We start from the raw sequence: 11262 nt of genomic DNA on the forward strand, positions 1-11262 counted from the left end.
GAGGATGGAGCAGTTCACCCTTTTTATTTCCTGGCTGCCTGAGTCAGGATATTGGTCTTCTCTTCTCCCTGGACTGAAATTTACACCATTGTCTTCCCTGGTTCTCAGGCCTTTAGATTTGGACTAAATCATACCACCAGCTCTCCTGGGTCTCCAACTTGCAGACAACAGATTGTGGGACTTAGCCTCCATAATTGTTGTGTGAGTCAATTCTGCAGAATCAATCTCTTCCTATACATATATATCCTATTGGTCCTGTTTCTCTGGAGAACCCTGAGCAATACAATTTCTCTTCAAGTAAATCTTTGTTAACAGTCCCAGTTATTTCCCATAGTTGAGGAAGCTGTGTCTCTTTTTATCTTTAACTCAAATTTTTCAGCCATTCATACAAACTCCCCATCTCAATTAGTGTGAGTGAAATTATCCTATATTCATACCAACCAGCAAGCCAGATTACTGTCTAGTCAAGCAGAGAAGGATAGCATATGCTGATATTGTTAAATGAATTTAATAGTTCATTACTACTGCTCTGCAGCTGGTGAGGATCCCGGAAGGAGAGAGCAATTTTAAGGTGGAGTATGTCCAGAGAGCTCAACTTCTATTTCGTGAATATCCTTATATCCTAAAGAGATTAAATTCATAGGACTGACTACCATTTTGTGATTATGTCCACAGAAGGCCAGAGACACGTGTGCCCTATGTCCTCACCCATCAAGGTACTTCCTTTTGGGAAGGGAGTGGGGCTCAAGGAATGTCAGGATATGTCACAGGACACAGAGGAAACAGGAAGCTGTATATCAGCAGGTCACTGATATATTTAAGGTACTTAAAACACAGGTCACTGTAACCACTTAGAAAGTGGAAACAAACTGGCTTTAGGAGGGTTTATTTCTGGTTTTGCATTTTAAACTACCATAAAGCAGTTTATCCTGCTCACAGACCTCTGAGATTCCACGGAACCTCTGATAAAGGCTAGGATTTCGGCCGGATGGGGTGGCTCACACCTGTAATCCCAGCACTTTGGGAGGCCGAGGTGGACGGAAGTTTGAGACCAGCCTGATCAACATGGAGAAACCCCGTCTCTACTAAAATAAAATAAAATAAAAAAATTAGCAGGGTGTGGTGGCGCATGCCTGTAATCCCAGCTACTTGGGAGGCTGAGGCAGGAGAATCGCTTGAACCTGGGAGGCGGAGGTTGCGGTGAGCCGAGATCATGCCAGTGCACCCCAGTCTGGGCTACAAGAGCGAAACTCCGTCTCAAACAAACAAACAAACAAATAAATAAAGGCTAGGATTTCCATGTTGGCACTCCGTCTCAAATAAATAAATAAATAAAGGCTAGGATTTCCATGTTGGCCAAATGATAACAGCCTCTTTTCATCAGAGCCCACCATGCTAGGCATGTTCTGTGTTCTCGTTTAATACATGGGAAGAAAAAATTACCCTATTTTATTGCGTAGAGGCAAAACACTATCATTTAACATACCCATTTGCATCCCTAAACACACACAAATAAAGTCTGTTAAGATTGGGTAAGCCATAAAAAGGCTGTAAAGCTAATTTTTAGAGTAGTAAAGGGCCAATCCATCCACATGCTGGGGCACTGTAAAGGGTTTTTGTTGTTTTGTTTTGTTAATGAGCAGCACAACTTGGCAAAACAACCATATGCTTTGTTATGATGTCCGTTGGCTTGTTTTCTATGAAACAGCTGTTCCTGCCCCAAACACTATCTGGCAAATCCTTCAACAGAAGTTGGGTCATAAAGCAGGGATCAAGTGAAAGAGCCCATGGAGCTAGAATATGGAGGACGTTCTGGCCTTGGGTCCCTCCTTCAGCCTGCTCACTCATGCCTTCTGCAAGCAAGCTGGCTAGGTATGTTCCCCCCTCCACAAAAACCTAGACTTAAAACGAGACAAAACACAGGGTTCAATATCCTTAGCTCTAGGTTTTGACCTCTAGATGCCTAGTCATTAGCAGCAATACCAACATCACATGCATAAGCTTTTAACTTTTTAAATGACCTTTGTATTTTAGTCTCCTAACAGAGCCTTGAGGGGCATGGTAGGATATATAGGCTATTACCTCCCTTCCTTTTAATAGTGATCATGTGTATCTAAACACTCATAACAAATGAAAAAATGTAACAGAAAAGCAGTTCTAATTCCTAGTACATCACTGCTTCAAGGTGAATATTTGCTTCCAAATATACAGTGGCATTTTGGATGACTAACGCCTTCTACATAAGCCACATCCTTATTCTTTGCCACCCTGGGAAGTCAGAGGTATCAAAGCAGCTGAGACAGCAGCTCTGACATGGACAAACTATCCTGCCTTTAGTGCGCCTGTTCATTCTTTTATTCCTCCAGCCCACCAACATTGCAGCCCTTATTATATGTGAGGCACATGGGAGAAACCAATGAGAAAAACATGAAGGCCCTGATCCTGGTGGAATTATATTCTAGGGAAAGAAACAATTACCACAAGAATTTTTTAAAAGCCAGTAAGTCATATTGTTAATATGTGATTTGTATTATGGAGAAAAAGAGGAAAAAGAAAAACAGAGCAGAGTTCAGAAGGATCGGGAGAGCTGAGGGGAGAGGGGAAAGGTAGACCGCAGTAAGTGAGCGACCAGGCAGAGTCTTAAGTGAGGAGGTGACATTCAGATCTTCCCAGCTGGCTGCTGGAAGGACATGGCAGGCAGATGACAAAACTAGCACGGAAGCCCTAAGAGTTGAAGCTGGCTGGCAAATTCCACGAGACCCGCATGGCCAGAGCTAAAGAAGCAAGAGAGGAAGTAGTGGGAGAGGCAGGGAAGAAATGGGGGACATCATGTACAGCCTTAAAGCCACAGTAAGGATTCTGAGGGACCAGCGTGGGCTGTTTGAGGGGGAGTATATGTGATGGGGCGTTTTGTTGAAGGATCACTCTGGCTGCTATGGGACAAAAGTAGAAGGAAGATCTTTTAAGAGGAAAAGACAGGCTGGGTGCAGTGGCTCACGCCTGTAATCCCAGCACTTTGGGAGTCTGAGGCGGGCAGATCACCTGAGGTCAGGAGTTTGAGACCAGCCTGACCAACATGGAGAAACTCTGTCTCTACTAAAAATACTAAAATTAGCTGGGCGTGGTGGCAGGCGCCTGTAATCCCAGCTACTCGGGAGGCTGAGGCAGGAGAATTGCTTGAACCCGGGAGGCGGAAGTTGTGGTGAGCCAAGATTGTGCCATTGCACCCCAGCCTGGGTGATAACAGCGAAACTCTGTCTCAAAAAAAAAAAAAAAAAAAAAGGAGACAAAGATGAAGGTGGCTTGGACCAGGGTGGCTGTCACAGGAGGTTGTTGCCCTCAGCCCCCTTCCCACACGAGAAGGGTCAGATTCCCTTCTTTCTCTCACACCAAAATGCTGTATTACCTCAGGGAACTGAATATGAAAACGGGAGAAACTGCTTTCACATGTGCGTGAGGGCTCATTTCAATTTTAATACTGATACACGCATGCTTGTCACAATACTGCCACTTCACACTGTGATCTATTCTCAATACCTGCCAGAGCTCTGTTTTCTGGGGTGAAGTAACACAGGTTAGCTTTCAGTTTATTCATAAATGGCGATGCTGCACCCAACGTTCCTATCACAAAATGCTCCTCCATCACTGGGGCCAAGACACCAACGAAACATTTTCCATACCTGTGTTTCCTCTGAGAAAACTGTTAGCATTTGAAGGGAAGTTACTTTAAAACAGGGGAAAACCTGCTAATATCTTCAGGATGAGGCAGACGTCACTCTCCTAGCCTGTCTGAAGACTCCTTAGAGGATAATCCATTAAGTTGAACTGTACATGCACTGATTTCCCTCATTTTAGTTCTGATTTTGTAATCATTGCGGAGCACTCCATTTCATATTCATACTAATGTGGTACTTCACATTCATATAAGAATGTGGGGTCAAAATTAAAGGCACTGTGAAAGATTGCCCCTATCATTTTGATATGCATTTGTTTCCTCAGGCTCTGGGGTGACCCATAATTTTACAGTCACAATGGACTCAGGACACAAAAGAAGAAATGACCCACCTTCAAACAGCAATGACCGTGGCCATCTCCAACAGGCCAGAAGGCTGAATGTTTCCCTAAACCAAGGCTTATGAATGGCATTCAGTCGATATATTAATATTAGATTCTAACAAGAAAATTGGGTTAGTCTCCTTTCATCAGCAGAAAAGCAATTTATCTCTACAGCCTTGGTAACAGAAGATTAAAACAAATTAAGACCTATATAAATCATTGCCTTATCATTGAAAATGCTATTTGATACCGACCCAGCAATGTTGTCATTTGAGATGGCTATAATTTAGGAAAGGAGACAAGGAGGATCATTTATATATGAGTGAAATATAAACTTGTTAGCGTTCATGTGAAACTTTAATCTTGAAACATGGCAGAGCTTTCCGAGTGCCATGCTTATTATAACTTAAAAAAAAAGTGTCTCTAAAAAAAAAAAAAGTGTCTCTCCATTTTCCTAATTTCAAAAATAGTTAAAACTCCTAACGCATTCTACATTCAAATATTTATCCTAACCATTAAGTCCAAGATAGAGGAGCCATTTATAACAAGAAAATACAGTTTGTGATCCTCCAGTGTAATACCAGACTCTCTTAAAAACAAAATAACAACAAAAGAAAAAACAAAGGCATTCTCCCCCTAATATGCCCTTGTATTACAATTTTATAGTCAGTGCAATCATAGTTGGTGGAGAACACTATCAATGCATCACATGGACATAAGGTAATAAAAATATAATCTATGATGTGTTTACTCTAGTCAAGCTACATTTCTTTTTTATGTCCATGGACACATACTGACATGGGAATTTTTTCAAATATATGAACTGAATGTGAAGGAACGAATGCTGGCATTATTTTTTTATTAACATCTATTCTCTATTCAGCACATCACACTAAAACTTAAAAGCAACCTCAAGTTTGAATCTAAAAAATATATGTGAAGCAATAGCAATAACTGGCGTCCAGAATGGGTTAACCTTAGGTTATTGTTTTTTGTCAATTTGTCAGAAGCTATTCTTGACTTCGTTAATGGAGGCACATAAAGAAATAACCTGTCATAGCTGCTCAACACTCAATAGATGAGTTCGAAAAGTCAAAATCTTCAATATTGTCCAGTTTCATATAAACTGTAGCAGTAAAAGGAGATGGTACAGTTAACCTCTATGGAGGTCTTAAGGATAAAGCTGATTTCATTTTACCCCAGCCTTCCAGAGCAATCTTCTCCTACACTTCTATATTTCCTTTATATGGTTATTTACCTCTACGGCATATCTGGGTCTCAACTCATTAATAAAATTATCAGGTATTGATAGCCAGTACTCAGATTCCTTTGCTGGTGTCTCTCAAAATACCTGGCCTCGCACATCCTGGGGTCAAAAATAACTGCTGCACAGTTCACAACTGCAAAGATACGGAACCAACCTAAGTGCCCATCAACCAATGAGGGATAAAGAAAATGTGGTGTATATATACCACGGAATACTAGTAGGCCAGAAAAACCACAAAATAAAAGTCTTTTGCAGCAACTTGGATGGAGGTGGAGGCCATTATTCTAAGTGAAGTAATCAGGAATGGAAATACAGTATGTATTCCCTTATAAATTGGGAGCTAAGCTATGATTATGCAAAGGCATAGAGTGGCATAATGGACATTGGAGACTCAGAATGAGGAAGAGTGGGAAGGAGGAGAGGGATAAAAAACTACGTATTGGGTACAATGTACACTACTCAGTGAAATGGGGACACTAAACTCTCAGACATCACCACTATACACTTCATCCCCGTAACTAAAACCACTTGTATCCCCAAAGCTATTGGAAAAAAAATAAAAATAAAAATAAAAAAACCTGCTGTATTAAACCAAGGATCAGCTTGCTGGCTACCTTTTTTTTCCCCCTTGAGATGAAGTCTCGCTCTTGTCCCCCAGGCTGGAGTGCGATGGTGTGATCTCAGCTCACTGCAACCTCTGCCTCCCGGGTTCAAGTGATTCTCCTGCCTCAGCCTCCTGAGTAGGTGGGATTACAGGCGCCCATCACCACGCCCAGCTAGTTTTTGTGTTTTTAGCAGAGATGGGGTTTCGCCATGTTGGCCAGGCTGGTCTCGAATTCCTGACCTCAGGTGATCTGCCCGCCTCGGCCTCCCAAAGTGCTGGGATTACAGGCGTGAGCCACTGCACCCAGCTGCTGGCTACTTTTATAAAAGTAGTATTATCGGAACACAGCCTTGTCTATTTGTTTACTTATTGTCTATTGTTGCTTTCATGCTACCACTGCATAGTTAAGTAGTTATGACAAACTGCATGATCTACAAAGCCTAAAATATCTATAATCTGGCCTTGTATGAAAAATATTTGCTGACCACTTTATTAAACGATCCACTTACCCTCTTTTGGCAAATAGCTAAACAACAGAGCAGAGACATAATGAACATTCTTTTACCACAGGTAGAACATCTCTAATCTGAGAATCTGAAATGCTCCAAAATCTGATAATTTTTGAGCACTGACATGACATCATGGTGGCTGGGATAGCAACACCTTTGTTCTCTCACAGTGCAACGTACAGAAACTTTGTTTCATGAACAAAATTATCAAAAATACTGTATAGGCCAAGCGTGGTGGCTCACACGTGTAATCGAAGTACTTCGGGAGGCCGAAGCTGGTGGATCACTTCAGGTCAGGAGTTCAAGACCAGCCTGGCCAACATGGTGAAACCCTATCTCTACTAAAAAACACAAAAATTAGCTGTGTGTGGTGGCAGGCGCCTGTCATTCATTCCAGCTACTTGGGAGGCTGAGACAGGGGGATCTCTTGAACCCAGGAGGCAGAGGTTGCAGTGAGCCGAGATCACGCCACTGCACTCCAGCCTGGGCAACAGAGCGAGACTCCATCTCAAAAAAAAAAAAAAATTGTATAAAATTATCTTCAGACTTTTGTATAAGGTGTACATGAAACATAAATGAATTTCATGTTATTTCATCATGAATACATCAATATTCCGAAATCCAAAATCTGAAGCACTTCTGGTCCCATTTTAGAGAAGAGATATTTAACCTGTATTCAAAGTAGATGGCCCTTCTTTTTAAAAAATGCTGAGTTGCTAAGCAATCCAGTTCCTTTCAATTTTAGGGTCATCTCTAATTATTATGGCTTTGAAGAAAAAGCCATTCTTCCTATCTAAGCATTTCCAGATACCAAAGATTTAGCTTTTCACACTTGTTAATCTGATAGAATATACTGGCACTGACGTGACAGGTAGTTTAATTCACCATCACATCTTTTAATGCTTTAAAATTGTTCTCCCTCCCTAGGTTGGTTGGGGAGCAAAGTGTAATCCCAGGTTGCCTAATCTAATTTGGCAGTTTTAGTTCCAATGGTATTGCAGAATGTGCTAATGGGAACTAACATTTGCTACTGCACAGTGAAAAGAACAAGAATAGTGTGATTAAGAACAATAGTTCAAATTTGGCCAAAGATTAAATGGCCTAGGCATTCAGACTTCTGTCTTATGGCTCCTGTCTTTACAACGACCCTGGGGTTAAGGTGGCATATTCCATTGAAAGGCTGCGTGGTGTGAGTTTTCTACGATTTGAAAATTATGAGCTTCTGCGGCAACAAACTTGGAACCTGGGGATGGAACTTGGGGCCTGACTTGTTAAGTTCCAATTCTTTTCATATTCTCTGTAAGTGTACCAGTCTGTTTCATGTCATCTGGACCATTCTGATGTGCCTAGAAATCAATCTTTTTCCCTCCCTCAATCCTGCATGGGGTCAGGCCTACACCTCTGCACAAACTATAAGGCCATCAAACATAATCCTAAAGTACAAATAACCTGTGTAGCAAGACTATAGGACATCTCTACAGATGGTTGTCCTCCAGCATATCCTGGGATTCTAGGAAACTAAGATGAAACAGAGAGGAGAAAGGGGTGGTGCATAGGTGAACCAATGACTTCAAACTAAGGGATTTGCTGGTTTCTCTTCTGCTGCCACAGTAGCTTACATTAGAGCAGGAAAACTACGAGACCTTCAATACTATAGTCAGGACAGCAACAGCAACTTCCACTTTACCTTGCAAATATTGAGAGCTTGGACAATAGTCTAACAAATTCAATTTCAAACATCTGTCGAGAATTGGATGATGCTGACATTCTAACATTTCAACATGCCCCCAAATTTGTGGAAAGTACACGTGTTTACACCAGGAGAGTTCTATCTCTGAGTCAGATGTGGGGAAACTACTACTCTAGAACAGGATTCTCAACCAGAATGTGACCCCCTGGGCACATTTAGCAATGTCTAGAGACATTTTTAGTTATCACAGCTGGAGTTGTGTTAATGGCATTTAGTGGGTAGGGGTCAGGGGTACTGCTAAACACCCATATGCCTAGGACAGACTCCTAAAAATTAATTATTTGAATCAAAATGTTAATAGTGCTGAGGTTGAGAAACCTTGGTTTAGTTGTTTGTACCACATGTCAGCGCAAATGAAGGAGCCTGAGATGGGACACACTTTGGCCAGATCACATGGTGCAATCTGCTGACTAAAAATTGGCATGATGCTCTTTGAGAGATTAAATGCCATTAAGGAGTTGGTCTGTTTGCCTTTTGGGATGCAGTCTGATGGAGACAGCACCAGAAAAAATGGTCACACTCTCATATTTAAAATATAAATGAATCCACAAATATTTATATAATTTTATTGTCTACAAATACTATATTTTGAAGATTAAATGTGAAACCTTTTGCACTGTCCTAAACCCAAATGGGCAGGTGCAAAACTAATGTCAGAAATTAACTCAGCTCTCGTAAGATTCTTTATCCCAAATGAGAAAGGGTTTTTTTTTAATGATTTGAATTCCTATGTTCACGAATAAAATGAAAGCTCTCAGCCTTATATTTGTGGTTTAGATTTTTATTTAAAATAACAACAATAAAATATGTCCCTAAAATTGCAATGCTCAAAATTGGTTTTTATGACAAAAGTTTGAAACCTAGAAATGCCTGATTTATGGCAAATTATTGTTTTTATAATGCAAACCATCATACATTTTCTCCCTAAGTGTAATCTTTTATCAGTTCAACTGAAGAGCTTTTTCTATCTCCTTTCACATTTGTTATTTGACTAGAAGCAGCTTAGACTGAGCAACCTGTAAAACCAACCACCTTTGTGCAGAAATATCATCCAACTGGCTCTAGATTGTTGAAGGAGCAAAGTCAAGTCCAAGTTGCCCAGTCTAACAGGCTTGCTTACCTTCTAGTTCAGCTCCTTTTCTCTGAATTGAGTCTGCCATCTGAATTTGACCTCCAGATGACCATGACTTTTTCAAATCAAATGTGCAGTTTGCTATAAATAAGACCACATAGCTGCACAGGCTATAAATAACTAGAAATTATATGTTTTTTTCCTTGTCTGTTTGTACTAGCACTGCAAAACCCTTCACTTGCTGTGATTGAATAGTCTCTGTAGGCAGACAAGAAAATATAGCTGCCCAAAGCACTTCATCCTCCTAGAATGGAAAGGTGTCAGGATCCCAAATACACTGCAAGTAGATGGAGAAAATTACTGGGAAGGAGAAAATTACAAAAGAGACTTTCAGTATCTGTTTGGAACAGTGGATGATGAAAGTGGTAGTTACGTGTACAGCATGAAAATAAATTTATCAGACAATGATGCTTGTTTCCATCAGTTATTAAAAATGGAAAAATAGAATTCTTATAAATGCTAAAATGAAACAAGAGAAAAATAATCACTGTTTTATAAAAGAATGGGAAAGACATTTAATTTACTGATGCGTGCTCTATTCATGGCATTTAGGAAAAAATGTTAACATTCTTCATCCTCTTTTCACTGTTTTCTGTATTCTTAAAATGTGCTTCTGAATCGCAAATGTGATTTCACTAACCGGCAAAACAATGTCAGAACCAATGCTTAGCCATTTGGTGTGGAGTGCGGCCAAAACGTCATTTTGGGTTTCAAAGCCTGGTCCTGCCATGTTCGATGGCTTGGGACAAGTCACTAAGCTCTTGAAGCCTCATTTTTTCTCGTATGTACAAAAGGAATGAGGAAAATGCCCACAAAGTGTTCTGAAGAAAAATTAAATGATCTGTGAAAATGCTCGGTACAATGCAACTCAACATGCGTACCTATGTCAACACTATAGTGGAATAGCTAGAGCTTTTTCCTAGTCTGTCAACCCACTTGCTGTACTTACAGTGTTTTTAGAGAAAAATGCTTTTTTCACAACAGCAAAAGAAACGTTTATGTTGCAGCAGTACAAACCACATCCTTCAAAAGTTATACATAATGTGAATTATTCTGAATATTTTATGGAGGCCATTAAAAAACTTTATAGTTTAGGATGCAGTCTTTTTTAAAATACCTAATCCTTCATCTATAATTTATCATCTTTAAAAAAGATAACTGGCTTCATCAGTTTTGAGATGAGGGTTTTTTTTTTTCAGGATAATGTACACAAATGCTAATTATAAAATATCTAAGTTACAACTGAAATTGTGCCTCTTCTTCCAGCAATCATAAGCATAAATGGCATATATCATCCCTAACCTAACACTGGATAAATCTATTTCTGGATGGAATCCAAATTCAAATATGAGTACTAAAACCACATTTTAAAACTAAACTCGTCTGATATTACAACTGAAATAAAAACAAAACATAAGACACTGTAAGTAAGGCCTGCAGTGGCTGGACAATGCATTTCTTTATAGGAGGCTCTTTCTCTACTTCCTAGTCAAAAGGTGAGCACCTCTAACCTACCATTATGCCTTCTGGGAGAGGAGAAAGAGGGGTTCCTAATGTCTAAAAGTGACCCTTCATGTCTAAAGTTGAAACCGGGTCTTATAACACACATAAATTGAAATCTGCGTGTACGAATTAGTCCATGTACTACAATACCATGAATATTAAGTACTTTTTCTGAGGAAACAAGTTACTTATGTATTATAGTCTCTTGTTAAATCATGGCATCTTGATGTAACCGAGTACTCTATTTTAAAGATCTTTCTTCCTTTCTTTTCCTTCCAGTTTTAGTAATGAAATGGTAACCTTTGCTCTCTTTCTTCCCACCAGGCACTCCCTGCACAGCGCTTCCATTATCTAATTACGCTTATAATTATTATTAAAATTATTAATGCTTGCTTAGAAGTTCCACTGACTGACTTAGGCACCTTCAGAATTCTCCCTCAT

At 40.0% G+C, this 11262-nt stretch overlaps 1 protein-coding gene across 11 annotated transcripts in view, besides 1 other annotated feature; it reads right to left on the minus strand.

Moving 5' to 3' along the window:
- APP (amyloid beta precursor protein) overlaps window positions 1–11262 on the minus strand; it is a 290579-nt gene that overhangs the window by 104892 nt on the left and 174425 nt on the right. The window lies entirely within an intron of this gene.
- Window positions 2413–2914: an enhancer, noted in NCBI's record as "H3K27ac hESC enhancer chr21:27360167-27360668 (GRCh37/hg19 assembly coordinates)". NCBI's record gives its function as "activates a minimal SCP1, AML or CMV promoter by ChIP-STARR-seq in naive H9 embryonic stem cells {active_cell/tissue: H9 hESC(naive)}" and the evidence as "EXISTENCE:reporter gene assay evidence [ECO:0000049][PMID:30033119]".

This window comes from Homo sapiens, chromosome 21 (genome assembly GCF_000001405.40).
Source record: "Homo sapiens chromosome 21, GRCh38.p14 Primary Assembly".
In the NCBI taxonomy this organism is placed as follows: domain Eukaryota; kingdom Metazoa; phylum Chordata; class Mammalia; order Primates; family Hominidae; genus Homo; species Homo sapiens.